This window comes from Homo sapiens, chromosome 9, assembly GCF_000001405.40.
Source record: "Homo sapiens chromosome 9, GRCh38.p14 Primary Assembly".
Lineage (NCBI taxonomy): Eukaryota > Metazoa > Chordata > Mammalia > Primates > Hominidae > Homo > Homo sapiens.
In genome coordinates this window covers 65,709,999-65,732,990 of record NC_000009.12, presented here as the reverse complement: position 1 = coordinate 65,732,990, position 22,992 = coordinate 65,709,999, and the positions used below count along the sequence as shown (strand labels likewise).

The 22,992-nt window shown below is 37.2% G+C and overlaps 1 protein-coding gene across 19 annotated transcripts in view, besides 1 other annotated feature; it reads right to left on the bottom strand.

The window, feature by feature from the left end:
• Positions 1 to 22,992, bottom strand: part of ZNG1E (Zn regulated GTPase metalloprotein activator 1E) — an 81,063-nt gene that overhangs the window by 1,051 nt on the left and 57,020 nt on the right. For 16 of the 19 annotated variants that reach the window (XM_047422963.1, XM_017014456.2, XM_024447453.2 and 13 more), the window contains 3 exons: positions 12,899 to 12,950; positions 1,293 to 1,361; positions 1,124 to 1,189 (listed from right to left, as the gene is read on the bottom strand). In XM_047422963.1, coding sequence (XP_047278919.1) covers positions 1,124 to 1,189; positions 1,293 to 1,361; positions 12,899 to 12,950 — 187 coding nt within the window. Of the gene's footprint in view, positions 1 to 1,123; positions 1,190 to 1,292; positions 1,362 to 12,898; positions 12,951 to 22,992 lie in introns of those variants that run through there. The other 3 variants (XR_007061263.1, XR_428503.3, XR_007061264.1) reach the window with 1 other exon arrangement.
• Positions 17,881 to 18,490: an enhancer, noted in NCBI's record as "NANOG-H3K27ac-H3K4me1 hESC enhancer chr9:70450935-70451544 (GRCh37/hg19 assembly coordinates)". NCBI's record gives its function as "activates a minimal SCP1, AML or CMV promoter by ChIP-STARR-seq in primed H9 embryonic stem cells {active_cell/tissue: H9 hESC(primed)}" and the evidence as "EXISTENCE:reporter gene assay evidence [ECO:0000049][PMID:30033119]".

Sequence of the window (22,992 nt, the reverse complement as noted above, 5' to 3'; positions counted from 1 at the left end):
GCTCAAAGGAGAATTGATTGAACATTGATCAGCCTCAGTTCAAACTTAAAAGCAGAAATAGAGCATCAATGTTAATGGATTAATTACTGATATTCACTTAAAAAATACAAACTCTTAAGCTGAGAAAATTATTTAATTTCAATTATTTGTGAATTACAAGAAGTTTCTTAATGTTTTTAATTTTCAAAAAAGGTTTCTGTGTATTGTTTTTTTTTTGAACAATCCCCTTTTCTAATGATAAAGTTAATACATATATTAGGATGGTTTTTCAGTGTTTTTTATCACAACCAAAACCTGAAACAAAATGATGAAATATGTATCATATCCTATTGATTAAAGATTTTATATAATGTTTCACAGTTTTAGTGGGAAAAGTTGAGAAGTTAAAGGAGTTTGGTTATATTAAATAATTTGTTTTAGAAATGGGTTGCAATCAATGAACAATGTTGAAATAAAGAAAAACTATTATATTTATCTGAATATGAGCTCATTGTGTATTGATTTGCAGAAATGAGAAACGAATTATCTGATAAACTGGCTCCTATGGGGATGAAATTAATTTATTTGAAATAATATTCTTAATTTACCAAAAACTTTGTGTACACTTGTGAACACACAAGAGTAGACACTCAACTGACTGGTTAAGCATACACTTTAGAATCACTGCTTCCTAGAAGAAATACCTTTCATGACTTAAATACCCAAATATCAAGTAATGTGAGTGGGTTTCTAAATACAGAACAAGAATTCTTCTAGTCCTTTGTAACTTTGTTTAGAGTATGACAAATGTTTAGTGTCTGCTAAATGCATCAGGAAGCATAATGTTCAGCAGAAGTGAGATTTGCAACATTATTTCTCTGTACTTGGGAACAGAGAGCAGAAGGTAACATTTCAAAGCGCACAGGTTTGTTCTAGCTGCAACCCTAAAGAAAGTTGTGCAAATAAATCAAGCCTTATGCAGTGATTTCCAAAGCTCCTTTTCAGTCATGAAAATAATAAAGAAAAATGAAAGTAGACAAAGATGATTTGTACTAAAACCAGTGTTTCTGTTTAAAACCAAATATAGTTTTTATAACAGCCAAGAAAAGGACTTTGTCCAAAAGTCTGCAACAGTAAACTGTACCTTCAGCCTTATGACCTCCATGCAGTGATTGTCCTTGTTTCTCACATTCTTTTCCCACAGGAGATTCTGTATCAAGTGACATATTTTAATAAGACCAACCATCGCTAATAGCAACAACTATGTAACAAAACCATTGATAAATCATTAATCAGTTAAAAATTGCATTCACCTGAATAAACATATTAAGATGTTCTTCCTTTGCATTTCCTGGTACTTCAAATGTGATTGTAACAATACTCTGTAAATCAAGGGAAATAATAATAATTCTTTATAGTAATAACAATGTTTTTTAAATCACAAATTTTAAGATGAAAAGGAACATATTCATGGAATTTTACATTGCTTAAACCATATATATTAGGTATTATACTTTCCTCAGCATATGTGCTGTTTTTTTTGGAATTAGCAACTCCATTTCCTACATTCTGCACAGGTACCAATGGATTTAGTATTTACACAAACTACTACCTTGTATTTTAAAAAACTCACTCAAAAACCCTGATGAAAGGGTCCTCATTATTTAATTCATTCTTTCGTGGATTCTCAGCAATAAGAATATATGTAACACATACAATGTACTCACTACACAGGGCCAGGTACTTTTGCCTGAGTCACCTCATTTTATCTTTTGACTTACTCTTCACAACAATCCTGGGGAGTGAAGATAACTATTTCATTTTATAAATTGGGGAAAATAAGGGTCAAAAAAATAAGCTACCCAGAGCCAGGAATAAAACTCAAAACCGAAGTAAATTTGTTCTCTTAAAAAAAAAATACAAAAGAAAGGCTTGGCTTATCTTTAACTGAATAAGCATGTGCCAAGAGGAGAAGAGTTCTTAGCGATGAGAATGATAGGATAATGCCCTCTTTGGCTTTAGTAAGGGTGACATCATCATGTATTGAATATTAACTTTAGGATTTATTTTTCTTCTTTATCTTGATAAATCTCTCACTGTCTACCCCAAAGAAACAGAAGCTTAACATTTCCTGTAACAGGTCACCTAATTAAAACCCAAACCTCCCTTTGCCAATATAACCCCAAATTTCAAACTCAGAGATGAAAATACACAAGGGCTAAGCATAACATTATAAAAACATACACCTCACCTTGGAAAATAGAGGCTCAAAAGCCAAGCTCAAAATGAATTTAAAAAGGTAGAAAATAATATACTAAAGCACATCTTTGAATAACTTCCTAGAACTGCGTATCTGGCCTAGCAATTTTACTCACCATTACATAATCATACAGGCTTACAGCAGAAAATACAAAAAGACCAAAACTATTTTATAGTCCAAACTCAAGAGAATCGCTAAAGTATTAAAGACCAATTTAGGCAGAAACATATGAGACATTTCTTTCTTTCCATAGGTTACTGGGGAACAGGTGGTGTTGGTTAACTTCTTTAGTGGTGATTTGTGAGATTTTGGTACACCCATCACCTGAGCAGTATACACTGCACCCAATTTTTGTCTTTTATTCCTCATCCCCTTCCCACCCTTTCTCCCTGAGTCCCCAAAGTTCATTGTGTCATTCTTATGCCTTTGCATCCTCATAGCTTAGCTCCCACTTATGAGTGAGAACACAGCGATGTTTGGTTTTCCATTCCTGAGTTCTTTCACTTAGAATAATAGTCTCCAATCTTATCCAGGTCACTGCGAATGCCATTAATTCACTCCTTTTTATGGCTGAGGAGTATTCCATTGTATGTATATATATCACAGTTACTTTATCCACGCATTGATTGATGGGCATTTGGGTTGGTTCCACGTTTTTGCAATTGCGAATTGTGCTGCTATAAACATGCGAGTGCACGTATCTTTTTCGTATAATGACTTCTTTTCCTCTGGGTGGATATCTAGTAGTGGGATTGCTGGACCAAATGGTAGTTCTACTTTTAGTTCTTTAAGGAATCTCCACACTGTTTTCCATAGTGGTTGTACTAGTTTACATTCCCACCAGCAGTGTAGAAGTGTTCTGGGTTCACCACATCCATGCCAACATCTACTATTTTTTTGATTTTTTTATTATGGCCATTCTTGCAGAAGTAAGGCGGTATCGCACTGTGGTTTTGATTTGCATTTCCCTGATCATTAGTGATGTTGAGCATTTTTCCATATGTTTATTGGCCATTTGTATATCTCCTTTTAAGAACGGTCTATTCATGTCCTTAGCCCACTTTTTGAGGGGACTGCTTTTCTTGCTGATTTGTTGGAGTTCATTGTAGATTCTGGATATTTGTTCTTTTTCAGATGTATATATTATGAAAGATTTTCTCCTTCTCTGTGGGTTGTCTGTTTACTCTGCTGACTGTTCCTTTTGCTGTGCAAAATTTCTTTAGTTTAATTGAGTCCCAGCTATTTATCTTTGTTTTTATTGCATTTGCTTGAAATCCTTGCCTAAGCCAATGTCTAGAATGATTTTTCCAATGGTATCTTTTAGAATTTTTATAGTTTCAGGTCTTAGATTTAAGTCTTTAATTTATCTTGGGTTGATTTTTGTATACAGTGAGAGATGAGGATCCAGTTTCATTCTCCTACATGTGGCTAGCCAATTATCCCAGCACCATTTGTTGAAAAGGGTATCCTTTTTCCACTTTACGTTTTTGTTTGCTTTGTTGAAGATCAGTTGGCTGTAAGTATTTGGGTTTATTTCTGGGTTCTCTATTCTGTTCCATTGGTCCATGTGCCTATTTTTATAACCGTACCATGCTGTTTTGGTGACTATGGCCTTATAGTATAAGTTTGAAATCAGGTAATGTGATGCCTTCAGATTTGTTCTTTTTGCTTAGTCTTGCTTTGGCTACGCGCATGTGTATGTTAAACCATCCCTGCATCCCTGGTATGAAACCCCTTGATCATGGTGGATTATCTTTTTGATATGTTGTTGGAATCAGTTAGCTAGAATTTTCTTAAGGATTTTAGCATCTATGTTCAAGGATATTGGTCTGTAGTTTTCTTCTTTGGTTATGTCCTTTCCTGGTTTTGGTATTAGGGTGATACTGGCTTCATGATTTAGGGAGGATTCCTTCTTTCTCTCTCTTGTGGAATAGTGTCTTTAAGACTGGTACCAATTCTTCTTTGAATATCTGGTGGAATTCTGTTGTGAATCCGTCTAGTCCTGGACATTTTTTTGTTGGTAATTTTTTAATTACCATTTCAATCTCCCTGCTTGTTACTGGTCTGTTCAGGGTAATTCTTCCTGATTTAAGCTAGGAGGGTTGTATCTGTCCAGGAATTTATCCATCTATTTTAGGTTTTCTAGTTTATGCATGTAAAGGTGTTCATAGTAGCCTTGAATATCTTTTGTATTTCTGTGGTGTCAGTTGTAATATCTCCCGTTTCATTTCTTGAGCTTATTTGGATTTTCTCTCTTTTCTTGGCTAATCTTGCTAACGGTCTATCAATTTTATTTATCTTTTCAAAGAACCAGCTTTTCGTTTCATTTATCTTTTGGATTTTTTTGTTGTTTTGTTTCAATTTCATTTAATTCCGCTCTGATCTTCTTTCTTCTGCTGGGTTTGTTCTTGTTTCTCTAGTTCTTTGAGATGTGACCTTAGATTGTCTGTGCTCTTTCCAACTTTTTGATGGAGGCATTTAGGGCTATGAACTTTCCTCTTAGCACCACCTTTGCTGTATCCCAGAGGTTGATAGGTTGTGTCATTATTGTCATTCAGTTTGAGGAATTTTTACATTTCCATCTTGATTTCATCTTTGACCCAATGATCATTCAGGAGCAGGTTATTCCATGTATCTGCATGGTTTTGAAGGTTCCTTTTGGAGTTGATTTCCAGTTTTATTCCACTGTGGTCTGAGAGAGTGCTTGATATAATTTTAATTTTCTTAAAATTTATTGAGGCTCATTTTGTTGGCTATCATATGGTCTATCTTACAGAAAGTTCATGTGCTGTTGAACAGAACGTATATTCTGTGGTTGTTGGATGGAATATTCTGTATATATCTTTTAACTCCATTTGTTCCAAGGTATAGTTTAAATCCACTGTTTCTTTGTTGACTTTCTGTCTTGATGACCTGTGCAGTGCTGTCAGTGGAGTATTAAAATCCCTCACTATTATTGTGTTGCTGTCTGTCTAATTTTTTAGGTCTATTAGTAATTCTTTTATAAATTTGGGAGCTCCAGTGTTAGGTGCATATGTTTAGGATTGTGATACTTTCCTGTTGGACAAGGCCTTTTTTTCATTATATAATGTCCCTCTTTGTCTTTTTAAACTGCTATTTCTTTAAAGTTTGTTTTGTCTAATATAAGAATGGCAACTCCTGCTCACATTTGGTGTCCGTTTGCATGAAATGTCTTGGTCCATCCCTTTACCTTAAGTTTATGTGAGTCCTTATGTGTTAGGTGAGACTCTTGAAGGCGACAGATAGTTGGTTGGTGAATTCTTACCTATTCTGCAATTCTGTATCTTTTAAGTGGAGCATTTAGGCCATTTATATTCAATGTTAGTATTGAGATGTGAGGTACCACTCTATTCATCATGCTATTTGTTGCCTGTATACCTTGTTTTTTTTGGTTTTTGTTGTTTTTCTAATTGTACTTTTGTTTTATAGGTCCTGTGATATTTATGCTTTAAAGAGGTTCTGTTTTGATATGTTTCCAGGATTTGTTTCAAGATTTAGAGTTCCTTTTAGCATTCTTGCACTGGTGGCTTGGTAGTGGTGAATTCGCTGTTTGTCTGAAAAAGCTGTATCTTGCCTTCATATATGAAGCTTAGTTTTGCTGAATACAAAATTCTCAGCTGATAATTGTTTTGTTTGAGGAGGCTGAAGATAGGGTTCCAATCCCTTCTGGCTTGCAGGGTTTCTGCTGAGAAATGTGCTGTTAATCTGGTAAGTTTTCCTTTATAGGTTACCTGGTGCTTTTGTTTCACAGCTCTTTCTTTCATCTTAACTTCAGATAACCTGACGACAATGTGCCTAGATGACGATCTTTTTGTGATGAATTTCCCAGATGTTCTTTGTGCTTCTTGTATTTGGATCTAGGTCTCTAGCAAAGCTGGGGAAGTTTTCCTCAATTATTCCCCCAAATATGTTTAACAAACGTTTAGATTTCTCTTCTTCCTCAGGAATGCTGGTTATTCTTAGGTTTGGTCATTTAACATAATTCCAGATTTCTTGAAGGCTTTCTTCATATTTTCTTATTCTTTTTTCTTTGTCTTTATTGGATTCGGTTAATTAGAAGACCTTGTCTTCAGGCTCTGAATTTCCTTCTTCTACTTGTTCAATTCTATTGCTAAGACTTTCCAGAGCATTTTATATTTCTATAAGTATGTCCATTATTTCCTAAAGTTTTGATTGTTTTTTATTTATGCTATCTAGTTCATTGAATATTTCTCCCCTTACTTCTTGTATCTTTTTTTTTTTAATATCCTTACATTGGGCTTCACCTTTCTCTGATGCCTTAGCTTAATAACCAACCTAGTGAATTCTTTTTCAAGTAAGTCAGGGATTTCTTCTTAGTTTGGATCCATTGCTGGTGAGCTAGTGTGATTTTTTGGGGGGCGTTAAAGAACCTTGTTTTGTCATATTACCAGGGTCGGTTTTCTGGTTCCTTCTCATTTGGGTAGGCTCTGTCAGAGAGAAGGTCTAGGGCTGAAGGTTGTTGTTCAGATTCTTTCGTCCTACGGGGTGTTCCCTTGATGTAGTACTCTCTCCCTTTTCCTATGGATGTGGCTTCCTGAGAGCTGAGCTGTAGTGATTGCTATCTCTCTTCTGGATCTAGCCACCCAGCAAGTCTACCAGACTCCAGGCTGGTACTGGGGGGTAGTCTGCACAGAGTCGGGAGATGTGAACCATCTGTGGGTCTCTCAGCTGTGGATACCAGCACCTGTTCCAGTGGAGGTGGTAGGAGGGTGAAATGTACTCTTTGACGGTTCTTAGCTTTGCTGGTTTAATGTACTATTTTTGTGCTGGTTGGCCTGCTGCAGGGAGGTGGCACTTTCCAGAGAGTGTCAGTTGTGGTAGTATGGAAAGGAACAGGTGATGTGTTGGGCTCTAGAACGCCCAAAAACATGAGATATTTAATCTCCACTGTTACTAGTAATAGAAAAAGCAGAAAAGTGCTTTCTTGCTTGATAAGAGAAGTGCAAGCAGACTAAAAAAAGGTTCAAATTGAACTTGCAAATGTGAGACTTTTAAAAGTACTTATTTTGTCACAGCAGTCAAGACACTAACAACCACCTAAATGTCCAGGACAGTTGAATGGATAAAATAAATGTGGTAATATACATACAACCAAATATTATGTATCCTTAAAAAAATCCTGTCATATACTACAACATGGATGAATCTTGAGGACATTACACTAAGTGAAATAAGCCAGTCACAGAAGGACAAATATTGCATGAATCCACTAATATCAGGAGTCTAAAACAGTAAAACTCATCAAATCAGAAAGTAAAATGGTGGTTACCAGGGGTCAGAGGGAGACGAAAATTGGGAGGTGCTGTTCAATGGGTATAATTTTAGTCATGCAAGATGAAAAGTTCTAGAGATCTGCTATATAACAATGTACATACAGTTAACAATACTATATTGTACCCTTAAAAATTTGTGGAAGAAGGTAGGTCTCACGTTAAGTGTTTTTTACCACAATAAAAAATATACAGTCATGGATACATAAAGAGAAATGAGCTGTTGGGCAATTTTGTTGTTATACAAACATGATAGTGCACTTACACAAACCTAGATGGTATAACCTACTACACACCTAAGCTATGCTGTATAGCCTGTTGCTCCTAGGCTACAAACCTGTACAGCATATATGTTACTGTACTGAACAGTGTATGGAAATAATAACACAATGGTAAGTATTTGTGTGACAGTAATTTTTCAGCTCCATCGTAATCTTATGCAGTCTGACTAAAACGCTGTTATGCAGTGCATGACTATACTTATTTTTAAATCTTAATAAACATACTCTATTTTAAAACTATTTTTATAGCATAAGGTAATAATAATATGCATTTTTAAATGACAATTATTTTATTTCTTCATTAAAGGAATCACTACAATACCTAAAAGTCCACATAAAATATACAGCAAAAGGTTGTCAAATGAAACATAAATGTCAGTTAAAAAAATTAATTTAGTCTTCAAAAATGTTTAAAATGTATTTTAATGCAAGTTGGAAAACTATATTGAGAATGTCGCAAAATACAACTCAAAATTGCTTTATTGTTAAAGATTTTAACTGAATAAATTTTTTTGAGATGGGGTCTCACTCTGTTGCCCAGGCTGGAGTAGAGTGGCACAATCATGGCTTACTGCAGTTTTGAACTCCCAAGCTAAAGCAATCCTCCCACTTCAGCCTCTCGAGTAGCTGGGATTACAGGTACATGCCACCATACCTGGCTAATTTTTTGTATTTTTTGCAGAAATGGGGTTTCACCATGTTGCCCAGGCTGGTCTACAACTCCTGGGTTTTAAGCAATCCACCCACCTTGGCCTGTCAAAGCGCTAGGATTACAAGCATAAGCCACCACACCCAGCCTAAAGATTTTTATAATGATTTTTGCTTTTATCAGGTTAAATATGTGACTTAATATTTTTAAGGGGTACAATAAACTCCAGTATGAGACACAAAAGGCTTTAAAAATTAAGATAACGCATCATGGGGCTCAAGAAGGATGATCTATATTTTGGAACCAGATGTTTTCCTACACCAATAAACTCTTTTCACGTTAGAAAAACCCTGAAAAAATCTGTAATTCCCAGTGCAGAAGATAAGGGTCACAACTCATAGTTGGTTCTAATAATAAACTAAACATTCTTTGTCACTTGGGTTTTCTCATCTACCTTCCCATTCTCCAAACCCAGGTGTTCCTTATGGGGAATAAACAAAGAATCCATGAAAAATAGATAACTGCATTAAAAATTCAGGGATAGAGCCTTAATAACACATATATACTAGGTCCTAGGTATTACCCATTTCAGACTTTTTTTTTCCAGTTTTTGTTTTGAATCTAAAATTAACTCCTTTTTCCATGTATGCTGACAGAGAAAGAAACAGAAAAGTGAGGCAATAATTGAGAAAACTAAAGCAAAATGAGGAATTGCCTCTAAAATAAAATTTAGGAACAACTTACTCAGGTTTGTTTATTTAGTCTGTTTCTTCTTTAACCCACTGGGTTATTTCTCCATTTTCTACTCTTTTGCAAACAATACCTAACATACAATAACTTTTATATGTTTTCTTCATCCAGAACACTAAGCCCCCTAATGTGCTTAAACTCAAAATCTGTACCTTCACACTCTATCCCTCTGTTCTTCTTTGCCTGTATAATATCTATACTATAATATCTGGCCACCAGGGACAACTGAATATATGGCATTATCATCCAAATCACTTTGCCTTCCCGATTTTTCTATTTCTAGGTTTCTCTAGTCAATCTAGGCTTGTTTCCCATCACCCCTTCTTTTCTTTCTGATCCATAATCAGTCAGACAGGATATTCAGGCAAGTCTACTGGTGAAACAGCTCTGGATTTATCCCATTTCTAGTCTCACTGTAACCAACATGTTTCAGGCCCTTATCACACAGTATCTTCCCGCATGGTCTCCTGACTCTAAAGTCCAATCTAGCTTACATAACACTCCTAGACAGCACTGCTTGAGTTCTCTTTGTCTAGCAAATTAAAACCTAATACCTTAGACCAGGATTCCAGTACCAACTCTCCACTAAGACTTCTGTACCAGAGACCTACTCATCTATAAGATTCTCACCTTCTCATTTTTAAACATCCGTATTGCTCTTTTCCTTACTTCTTCCCGTCAAAAAAAATCCTACCGTCAAAAAAAATCCTACCAGTTCAAGGTTATTTTTTGTTAAGTAAGTCAGAATAGCACTTACCCCTTCTTTGACTAGGAAGGGGCAAAAAGGAACTCTTTACAATTTTGGATATCTTTTGTATCTTGACCTGAGTGGGAGTTAGAAGGATATGTGTTTGAATGTGCATATAGACAGATATATAGGTACAAATATATGTAAAAATACATTGAGGCCGGGCACAGTGGCTCACGCCTGTAATCCCAGCACTTTGGGAGGCCGAAGCAGGTGGATCACCTGAAGTCAGGAGTTTGAGACCAGCTTGGCCAACATGGTGAAACCCCATCTCTACTAAAAAAAAAAAAAAAAAAAAAAAAAAAAAAAAAAAATTAGCTAGGCATGGTGGTACATGCCTGTAATCCCAGCTACTCAGGAGGCTGAGGCATGAGAATCACTTGAATCTAGAAGGAGGAAGTTGCAGTGAGCCAAGGTCACACCACTGCACTCCAGCCTGGGTGAGACTCTAGCCGGAGTGAGACTCCGTCTCAAAAAAAACCAAAAAAACAAAAACAAAAACAAAACCCAAACATTGAATTGTACACTAAAATTACACATTTGCATGCTTTACTGTATGCAAATAAATAAACCAAAACCAAAAGAAACAAATGAAAAACTATCCTCATGAAGCATTTGATGGGGTTCAGGACATGCTATCCCAAAATATGGCAACTCAATATTTGAGAAAATGGCAGAATCAGGAAGGTCACTCTCACCTTCTCTCCTGAAGCAGGTCATAAAACCTAGGAAAGATTTTCTGACCTTCCGCTGATGCAGGTCATAAGACCCTCATTTAAGAGGTGCCCTCTCTATACACAGAGGAAAAGAACATCCTTAAGTCTGAATATGAAGGGTCACAGAGAAAAATCTGAGCAAACAGGCCTTGCTAAGTTCTTCCCAGTTTATTATTAGATCATACTGTTTTATCTAATTATGCTTCTCCATTACTATCCTCTTCCATATCATAACTAACAGAAAACATACACAGGTATGTTTTATGAAGGCTCCTGTGTCAAGTAAAACTTACTAAATAAATTTCTATGTTGAAATTTCTCTTGATAGTTGGTCTTCTGTTAGAGAGACCTCAGCCATGAATCTAGTGATAGGCGAGGAAAAGATAAATTTCCTCCCTTACACCTCAGATCCACTAAACCAAATGAAATTGTTCATGCCTCTGAATCCCATAGCCCTTTGGCTGTGATACTATTTTTCCCTATGTTTATATTATCTAAAGCAGGACAGTGCATCAGAATCTCCTACAGAGGCTACAAAAATATAGATATGCCCTATTTAGTAGTAAAGTGACATAATGTCTGGAATTTGCTTTAATACACTACACCAAGGGCAATAGGTACATAAAGGCTCATTATACTATTCTACTCTTATGTACGTTTGAAATTTCCTATTAAAATACATTTGTTTTTTTTAAATACTCCAGGCAAAAGAAATGTTGGGAGGATAGGTGAAATAAAATCAGCTAAATGTTGATGCCATTTAAACTGGGTGATGCATACAAGGAGTTTACTTTACTATTCTGTTTATTCTTTTATATCTTTGAAATCTTCCATAATAAAATGTTAAAAATATACATTAATATACACATACCCAAGTCCCAATCCTGGAGACTGAGGGGTGAGAACTACTGAGTTATCGAATTTTTTTTAAAAAAGCTCCACATGTGATTCTGATTTATACCCCATTTGAGAAACACAGCTTTTCATTCTTTTAACAAATATTCACTGAGTATCCACCAAGCCCTGTACTGAGCAATAAAGATTTTATATTTAAGGAATTTATAGACTAATGCAAGGCAAAAGCATTTCAACCAAACTACAAGGCATCATAACTGCCACAATAGGGGTTCATTCGAGATTCTATGGATGGAGACACTGGCTGCTCCAAATGTTCATGGTAAGTGAGTACTGCGTTTTCTTCATCTTTTCATCCCTATGATTCTTGGCATCACGTTCTTTACCCAGAAGCTCAAATGTGCTTCATGTTCAACTATATGACAGATACCGACTATCATAAAGAACTGGGTTTTTTTTTTTTTTTTTACCATAAATTCTATCTCCAAGGACTTGTATTTCTCTCATTTATTCATTTTAAAGATAAGTGAAGAGGAATATCCTATTAACAAAAGTTTCACAGGGAAAGGTGCCACAAACATAGTAGCAAACCTGCTCATAAATATGAACCAAAATGAATACAAATGCAAGTAGCTGTTATCTTGGCCCTATTACAACCAATAGCAATTCAAAAATTGAGTGATCACTTGAGAGAGAGGAAGGAAGATTAGGCACACTGCTCACTTACACATCCCCCACTCCACCCCTCAGGGTTTTAAGAGGAACAAAGAAGTTATCCTAAAGCTCTACGATCTATGATCTGCTTAACAGAAACGCAGGTACAGTAAAATTATATTTAAATTGTTCCTAGCATCTTAGATATTTACCTTAGGGATTAGAATTTTAGAGCATGAAAAACATCTTAAGGAGTTCAAATTTATAGTGCTACCTGAAGGTGAAACTCCAAGTCAATTTTTATTTAAATAAGCCATGCTTATATCAGACCTTTCCTTAAACAATTCAACATACTTAAAAACAGACTGCCTATAGAACCCCCAGGCTGCTTTTAAGGAGTAATCCCTATCAGAACTAACCAATATGCTAAGCAAGCTACAGAATGGAAAGGCTAGAAAGCATGATTTCCTCAGATTCTAAAACAAATCTGGTTTGATGAATTCCTATTATGTGTTAAGAAATAGAATTAGACTATGTCAAAAGCATTTAAGATTCCAAAAATTATCAACACAGTTCAAAAATACCATTTTAGAAAAAGTTTATAATAAAATAGTCCTAAACATAGCCTATCTAGTTAAAGAGGTCCTTTAAAAACATTGATTAGGAATTTTAGATTTAGATTTTTTTTCTTTACCTGATCAAGGTGAGGTTGTGTTCCTGGCACATGCTGAAGTTTTTTCTGCAAACTAAAAACAACTGATTAGAAATTCAGAGATTAATACACTTCTGATTTAACTTTATACGTTTAGTGACACAAGGATAATGAAGTGACTTTCCATAACTGACTATTCTAATATTCTGTAATTCCAATTTTACAAGTTGTTTGCAAATTCCAATAGAGAAAAGCTGGCAGATTAAGTTTTTTTAAAATTTCTTAAAAAAAACACACATTCATATATATACATATGCACAGAATAAAGAGAAAAACTAGTCTTTTAGCAACACTATTTTGTATGGTTAAATATGTCAGTAAATTTCTTTACCATTCCAACAGGTTTAATACAAACTTAAATATATATATAACCATTCTAGTATTGCTTAGAGTTCCTTAACTTTCTCCTGCTTCCTAATATGAAAATAATGCTGGCACCTAAAGAAAGTTGAAAGGATAAATTTTCCTTTATCAATGTTTTCCCTTGAACTTATTAAAAAAGAAATAGTATCCATAAATATAAATTTTCTATATAGTCAGTTACCAATTGAGAGAAAAAGAAAGTCAGAATGTTAAAAATGCATTGTTCTGATATGAAAAGCACAAGAAGATCAACATGGCATAACAAATTACAACCATAATAACTGTAGCATACATTTCAACACTGATGGGGACAGGACGGGAGGGGGAAAGGACTTAAAACCTTGCAGAGGCTTTGCCTTGAAAACAGTGAGGGGTAAATTAGTAACAGCAAGTTTAGGAAAGAGAAAGAACTTGTAGGAACTATTGGAGGGAATGAGTCTCTTTGGGGGGGTCCTAGTAGGGAGAATGTCAAATTAAATCCTTCCCAACTGGTTGCTCAGGAAAAGATTCTCCTGTTTAGCAGTTAAGCACACACAAAAAAGTCATGCAACGGCCTTCCCTATAGTGGTGAGATCACATTAAAAAGCTACTTCAAGTGTCACTAAAGCATTATAACTGCTCTTAAGTGTATGTAGAATGAGATTACTTTAGAAAAACATTTTGAAAAATCATATGCTTTTCCCATATGTTCAGTATTTAATGTTGTTGGACAATGACTGCCTAAAACTTCATATGCAGCAAAAAAAAAAAAAAAAAAAAATCTAACAACGAACATTTAAGTTTAGTTCCCATAAGTCTCAGAATTTCATGCCCTCGATTTTTTCCCTATCATACACATTTTTAAAAGACTAATCTAGTGGATAAGGATATGCTATCAAAACCTGAAACTCATGAATCGGAAATCATCTTGCACATTAACTTGTAATCTTATAACAATTTTTGTCTCTGCACACATAAAATGTAAATTCTGCACACATAAAATGTAAAAAATCTCAAACAGTTTAGTGTTTTGTATATTTAAATCATTATGTTCTATAACAAACAATAATTTAGGTATTGTCAGTAAGATGGAATTAGCAACATTTCTATTTCTCCCAAGTAAAAATATAGAATGATATAAAGAACTGGATGCCTTGATGAAAGTACCTGTATTACAGCAAATTATAGCAAAAGACAGAAGTAGAAAGGAAAAACAAAAATTGATATACTGAATATAGAGGTGGGAAATGATTGCATACTATAATTCTTATTAGTGAAATAAAGCACTAAAGGATACAATATGTAAAGGGAAAAAATAAAATTTCAACTAAAAAATATTCTAGTGTTTAACATATTAAATGACAACCAACTTGTAAGCTCTTGGACCCAACAGAGATAAATTAGTTTAAGAAAGGCAAATTTTGCTGGGTTCAGTGGCTCAGGCTTATAATCCCAGCACTTTGAGAGGCCAAGTAGGAGAATCACTTGAGGCCAGGAGTTCAAGATGAGCCTGAGCAACGTAGCGAGAGCCTGTCACTACAAAAAAGTAAAAATAAAAAAATTAGCCAGGCATGGGCGCAAGCCTGTAGTCCCAGCTACTCAGGAGGCTGAGATGGGAGGATCACTTGAGTCCAGGAGTTCACGACTGCAGAGAGCCATGATAGCCACTGCATTCCAGCCCAGGTGTCAGAGTGAGACTCTGTCTCAATAAAATAAAATAATTAAATAAATATAAAAAAAAGAAAAGGCCAAGTGTGGTGGCTCATGCCTATAATCCCATTACTTTGGGAGGCTGAGGTGGGCAGATCACTTAAGCCCAGGAGTTTAAGATCAGCTTCAGCAACATGGCAAAACCTCATCTTCTACCAAAATAAAAAATTAGCCAGGCATGGTAGTGCGTGCCTATAGTCCCAGCTACTCATGAGTCTGAGGTGGGAAGATGGCTTAAGCCCAGGACACAGAGGCTATAGGGAGCTGACATCGCACCACTGCACTCTAGCCTGGGCAATAGACCCAGACCCTGTCTCCAAGGGGAAGAAAAAAAAAATGAAAGGCAAATTTCATGCAGCATTGTTTCATTTGTTCCCCTTGTAAACACATTTAAATGTATCACAGGATCTGTAACTATCAAAACTGCCCACAGCATCAAATTAAAAATACAGTTCTAATCCAGACACGGAGGATGAAAGGGATCATGGCTAACTAGTGAACAGCACTGATAGTCAAATGAAGGGCTGGAACCTTGAAGTAAAAAGAAGAAAAGGATCATCGAGAGGAAAGTTAGGATGGGCTAGACTTCTGGTTATTTCAGAAATGGGTAGCAAAAGACAAAGGCTCTTAACCTCCCAGAATTAGGTGACAACCTCAGCCAATCTATCTCCCTAGTAAAGCCAGAAATAAGATGGGAAAAAAAGACCATTTTTAAATGAACAAACCAAATTTATGCTTAGGGCTGTATTCGCTTAATGGAGGAACAGTTATTTCAAAATTAGTAAAACAAAAGCTTTATATGAAAAAACATAGTATAATTCTGAATGATTTTCATACAATCATTATCAAGCATAAGTGATACTGGATACCTGAAGCTGACATGAGGGAAAAAGGCTCAGGGAGATTTCACAACTTTGTACAGCAGTGGCTTGAAAGGATATAACTATATTTACCATAAAACAAGAAGTAGTCATTTTTACCTTACACAATTTATAAGAATTTTTAGAAAAATAGAAATAACTCACATGTAATTCAGGTATACCAAACTTTCCTGCCTTCCTACTAAATGGAACTAGAAAAGCAAAATGCTGATTTTTTCCAGGTACTCCAAAAATACCTTTATAATTTTAACTGTAATTTGTTTAGTCTAAAAAGGTACTGCTCCAATACCAGAAGCTACAGGTGAAAAACATATCTCTCAACTGAAGACAACTTCTTGAATAACTGTGTCACTGACAAGTTTACTCTCTGAGCTTCAGTTTCCAAACTGAGAAGGAGGAATAACTGCCCTGCCTGTCCCACACTTCTGGCTGCTGAAATAATCTCAATCAATTTCTTTTTTCTTTATTTTTTTTTTTACAAACTACATGCAAATTTAATTTTTCCAATTCATAAAGTAAAAGGGGTCCAATAAAACACTATCATGTCCTACCTCACAGGTTACTGTAGGTATTGTTTTCAAAATGTGAACAATACCACAGACTGAAGGTGGAAAAAAAAACTAGTTGAAAGTATAATTAGTTTTTAAGGGCATGGCTAAGGCAAAATTAGAAATACATATATAAGGCTGGGTGTGGTGGCCTACACATGTAATCCCAGCACTTTGGGAGGCTGAGGCATGAGGATCACTTGAGCCCAGGAGTTTGAGACCAGCCTAGGCAACATAGCAAGACCCCATGCTTACAGAAAATTAAAAAAAAATTAGTCAGGCATGGTGACACATGCCTGTGGTCCCAGCTTCTTGGGAGGCTGAGATGGGAGTATCACTTGAGCCCAGGAGGTTGAGACTGCAGTAAGCCATGTTTGTGCCACTGCACTCCAGCCTGAGTGACAGAGAACCCCATCTCAAAAAAATAAATAAATAAAAAGAAAAGAAATATATATAGGAATGGGAATTAGAACTCTCAAATGTAGAGCCACCCACTATGCCTACCCTTAAGCAAAATTGTCCCACCAATTCAAAATACCCAGAGACATGTCCATTTTCATGATCTTGTATGGACATATACGAGACTTATGAGATATTCATTGCAGCATTATTTGCAATAGCCAAGCTGTGAGAACAAGTTAAATGTCCACTAACAGAAAAAGGGATAAAGTAAATGTGGTATATGTAGAAAATGGAATATTATTCAGACTTAAAAAGGAAACCTTGCCATATGCAAAAACATGGATGAACCTTGATGACTTTATGCTACATGAAATAAACCAGTCACAGAAAGACAAATAATGCATGATTCCACTTGTGTCAGGTAATTAAAATAGTCAACCCCATAGAAAGAGTGTAGAATGGTGGATGCCAGGGGCTATGAAGACTGGGAAATGGGAAACTGCGATTCAAGGGGTATAAAGCTTCAGTTATAAAGAGTGAAACGTTCCAGAGATCTGCTGCACATCCTCATGCCTATAGTTAGCAATACTGTATTGTACACTTAAAAAATTGTTAAGAGGGTAGATCTCATGTTAGATGTTCTTACTACAATAAAAAAAGAAAAAGATACCGATGCACAAGAATAACTAATCTTTCTTCTCTCCCTTACCAAAAAGATTCCCCACAGCAGAAGGCAGAAAACTAATCCATTATTAAAGTGAAGAGAGGAGAGAGGAGCCAAGATGGCCGAATAGGAACAGCTCCGGTCTACAGCTCCCAGCGTGAGAGACGCAGAAGACAGGCGATTTCTCCATTTCCATCTGAGGTACCGGGTTCATCTCACTAGGGAGTGCCAGACAGTGGGCGCAGGTCAGTGGGTGCATGCTCCATCCGCGAGCCGAAGCAGGGCGAGGCATTGTCTCACTTGGGAAGCACGGGGGTCAGGGAGTTCCCTTTCCTAGTCAAAGAAAGGGGTGACAGACGGCACCTGGAAGATTGGGTCACTCCCACCAGAATACTGCGCTTTTCCGACGGGCTTGAAAAACGGCGCACCAGGAGATTGTGTCCCACACCTGGCTCGGAGAGTCCCACGCCCACGGAGTCTCGCTGATTGCTAGCACAGCAGTCTGAGATCAAACTGCAAGGCGGCAGCGAGGCTGGGGGAGGGGCGCCCGCCATTGCCCAGGCTTGCTTAGGTAAACAAAGCAGCCAGGAAGCTCCAACTGGGTGGAGCCCACCACAGCTCAAGGAAGCCTGCCTGCCTCTGTAGGCTCCACCTCTGGGGGCAGGGCACAGACACACAAAAAGACAGCAGTAACCTCCGCAGACTTAAGTGTCCCTGTCTGACAGCTTTGAAGAGAGCAGTGGTTCTCCCAGCACACAGCTGGAGATCTGAGAACGGGCAGACTGCCTCCTCAAGTGGGTCCCTGACCCCTGACCCCCTGGGAGGTCACCCCCTGGGAGGTAACTGGGAGGCACCCCCTAGCAGAGGCAGGCTGACACCTCACACGGCCGGGTACTCCAACAGACCTGCAGCTGAAGGTCCTGTCTGTTAGAAGGAAAACTAACAAACAGAAAGGACATCCACACCAAAAACCCATCTGTACATCACCATCATCAAAGACCAAAAGTAGATGAAAACTGCAAAGATGGGGAAAAAACAGAGCAGAAAACCTGGAAACTCTAAAAAGCAGAGCGCCTCTCCTCCTCCAAAGGAACGCAGCGCCTCTCCTCCTCCAAAGAAACGCAGTTCCTCACCAACAACAGAACAAAGCTGGACGGAGAATGACTTTGACGAGCTGAGAAAAGAAGGCTTCAGACGATCAAATTACTCCAAGCTACGGGAGGACATTCAAACCAAAGGCAAAGAAGTTGAAAACTTTGGAAAAAATTTTGAAGAATGTATAACTAGAATAACCAATACAGAGAAGTGCTTAAAGGAGCTGATGGAGCTGAAAACCAAGGCTCGAGAACTACGTGAAGAATGCAGAAGCCTCAGGAGCCGATGCGATCAACTGGAAGAAAGGGTATCAGCGATGGAAGATGAAATGAATGAAATGAAGCAAGAAGGGAAGTTTAGAGAAAAAAGAATAAAAAGAAACAAACAAAGCCTCCAAGAAATATGGGACTATGTGAAAAGACCAAATCTACGTCTGATTGGTGTACCTGAAAGTGACGGGGAGAATGGAACCAAGTTGGAAAACACTCTGCAGGATATCATCCAGGAGAACTTCCCCAATCTAGCAAGGCAGGCCAACATTCAGATTCAGGAAATACAGAGAATGCCACAAAGATACTCCTCGAGAAGAGCAACTCCAAGACACATAATTGTCAGATTCACCAAAGTTGAAATGAAGGGAAAAATGTTAAGGGCAGCCAGAGAGAAAGGTCGGGTTACCCTCAAAGGGAAGCCCATCAGACTAACAGCGGATCTCTTGGCAGAAACTCTACAAGCCAGAAGAGAGTGGGGGCCAATATTCAACATTCTTAAAGAAAAGAATTTTCAACCCAGAATTTCATATCCAGCCAAACTAAGCTTCATAAGTGAAGGAGAAATAAAATACTTTACAGACAAGCAAATGCTGAGAGATTTTGTCACCACCAGGCTTGCCCTAAAAGAGCTCCTGAAGGAAGCGCTAAACATGGAAAGGAATAACTGGTACCAGCCGCTGCAAAATCATGCCAAAATGTAAAGACCATCGAGACTAGGAAGAAACTGCATCAACTAACGAGCAAAATAACCAGCTAACATCATAATGACAGGATCAAATTCACACATAACGATATTAACTTTAAATGTAAATGGACTAAATGCTCCAATTAAAAGACACAGACTGGCAAATTGGATAAAGAGTCAAGACCCATCAGTGTGCTGTATTCAGGAAACCCATCTCACGTGCAGAGACACACATAGGCTCAAAATAAAGGGATGGAGGAAAATCTACCAAGCAAATGGAAAACAAAAAAAGGCAGGGGTTGCAATCCTAGTCTCTGATAAAACAGACTTTCAACCAACAAAGATCAAAAGAGACAAAGAAGGCCATTACATAATGGTAAAGGGATCAATTCAACAAGAAGAGCTAACTATCCTAAATATATATGCACCCAATACAGGAGCACCCAGATTCATAAAGCAAGTCCTGAGTGACCTACAAAGAGACTTAGACTCCCACACAATAATAATGGGAGACTTTAACACCCCACTGTCAACATTAGACAGATCAATGAGACAGAAAGTCAACAAGGATACCCAGGAATTGAACTCAGCTCTGCACCAAGCAGACCTAATAGACATCTACAGAACTCTCCACCCCAAATCAACAGAATATACATTTTTTTCAGCACCACACCACACCTATTCCAAAATTGACCACATACTTGGAAGTAAAGCTCTCCTCAGCAAATGTAAAAGAACAGAAATTATAACAAACTATCTCTCAGACCACAGTACAATCAAACTAGAACTCAGGATTAAGAATCTCACTCAAAACCGCTCAACTACATGGAAACTGAACAACCTGCTCCTGAATGACTACTGGGTACATAACGAAATGAAGGCAGAAATAAAGATGTTCTTTGAAACCAACGAGAACAAAGACACAACATACCAGAATCTCTGGGACACATTCAAAGCAGTGTGTAGAGGGAAATTTATAGCACTAAATGCCCACAAGAGAAAGCAGGAAAGATCCAAAATTGACACCCTAACATCACAATTAAAAGAACTAGAAAAGCAAGAGCAAACACATTCAAAAGCTAGCAGAAGGCAAGAAATAACTAAAATCAGAGCAGAACTGAAGGAAATAGAGACACAAAAAACCCTTCAAAAAATTAATGAATCCAGGAGCTGGTTTTTTGAAAGGATCAACAAAATTGATAGACCGCTAGCAAGACTAATAAAGAAAAAAAGAGAGAAGAATCAAATAGACGCAATAAAAAATGATAAAGGGGATATCACCACCGATCCCACAGAAATACAAACTACCATCAGAGAATACTAAAAACACCTCTACGCAAATAAACTAGAAAATCTAGAAGAAATGGATAAATTCCTTGACACATACACCCTCCAAAGACTAAACCAGGAAGAAGTTGAATCTCTGAATAGACCAATAACAGGATCTGAAATTGTGGCAATAATCAATAGCTTACCAACCAAAAAGAGTCCAGGACCAGATAGATTCACAGCCGAATTCTACCAGAGGTACAAGGAGGAACTGGTACCATTCCTTCTGAAACTATTCCAATCAATAGAAAAAGAGGGAGTCCTCCCTAACTCATTTGATGAGGCCAGCATCATCCTGATACCAAAGCCGGGCAGAGACACAACCAAAAAAGAGAATTTTAGACCAATATCCTTGATGAACATTGATGCAAAAATCCTCAATAAAATACTGGCAAACCGAATCCAGCAGCACATCAAAAAGCTTATCCACCATGATCAAGTGGGCTTCATCCCTGGGATGCAAGGCTGGTTCAATATATGCAAATCAATACATGTAATCCAGCATATAAACAGAACCAAAGACAAAAACCACATGATTATCTCAATAGATGCAGAAAAGGCCTTTGACAAAATTCAACAACCCGTCATGCTAAAAACTCTCAATAAATTAGGTATTGATGGGACGTATTTCAAAATAATAAGAGCTATCTATGACAAACCCACAGCCAATATCATACTAAATGGGCAAAAACTGGAAGCATTCCCTTTGAAAACTGGCACAAGACAGGGATGTCCTCTCTCACCACTCCTATTCAACATAGTGTTGGAAGTTCTGGCCAGGGCAATTAGGCAGGAGAAGGAAATAAAGGGTATTCAATTAGGAAAAGAGGAAGTCAAATTGTCCCTGTTTGCAGATGACATGATTGTATATCTAGAAAACCCCATCATCTCATCCCAAAATCTCCTTAAGCTGATAAGCAACTTCAGCAAAGTCTCAGGATACAAAATCAATGTACAAAAATCACAAGCATTCTTATACACCAACAACAGACAAAGAGAGCCAAATCATGAGTGAACTCCCATTCACAATTGCTTCAAAGAGAATAAAATACCTAGGAATCCAACTTACTAGGGATGTGAAGTACCTCTTCAAGGAGAACTACAAACCACTTCTCAAGGAAATAAAAGAGGATACAAACAAATGGAAGAACATTCCATGCTCATGGGTAGGAAGAATCAATATCGTGAAAATGGCCATACTACCCAAGGTAATTTACAGATTCAATGCCATCCCCATCAAGCTACCAATGACTTTCTTCACACAATTGGAAAAAACTACTTTAAAGTTCATATGGAACCAAAAAAGAGCCCGCATCGCCAAGTCAATCCTAAGCCAAAAGAACAAAGCTGGAGGCATCACACTACCTGACTTCAAACTATACTACAAGGCTACAGTAACCAAAACAGCATGGTACTGGTACCAAAACAGAGATATAGATCAATGGAACAGAACAGAGCCCTCAGAAATAACGCCGCATATCTACAACTATCTGATCTTTGACAAACCTGAGAAAAACAAGCAGTGGGGAAAGGATTCCGTATTTAATAAATGGTTCTGGGAAAACTGGCTAGCCGTATGTAGAAAGCTGAAACCGGATCCCTTCCTTACACCTTATACAAAAATCAATTCAAGATGGATTAAAGACTTAAACGTTTGACCTAAAACCATAAAAACCCTAGAAGAAAACCTAGGCATTACCATTCAGGACATAGGCATGGGCAAGGACTTCATGTCTAAAACACCAAAAGCAATGGCAACAAAAGCCAAAATTGACAGATGGGATCTAATTAAACTAAACAGCTTCTGCACAGCAAAAGAAACTACCATCAGAGTGAACAGGCAACCTACAAAATGGGAGAAAATTTTTGCAACCTACTCATCTGACAAAGGGCTAATATCCAGAATCTACAATGAACTCAAACAAATTTACAAGAAAAAACCAAACAACCCCATCAAAAAGTGGGTGAAGGACATGAACAGACACTTCTCAAAAGAAGACATTTATGCAGCCAAAAAACACATGAAAAAATGCTCACCATCACTGGCCATCAGAGAAATGCACATCAAAACCACAATGAGATACTATCTCACACCAGTTAGAATGGCAATCATTAAAAAGTCAGGAAACAACACGTGCTGGAGAGGAT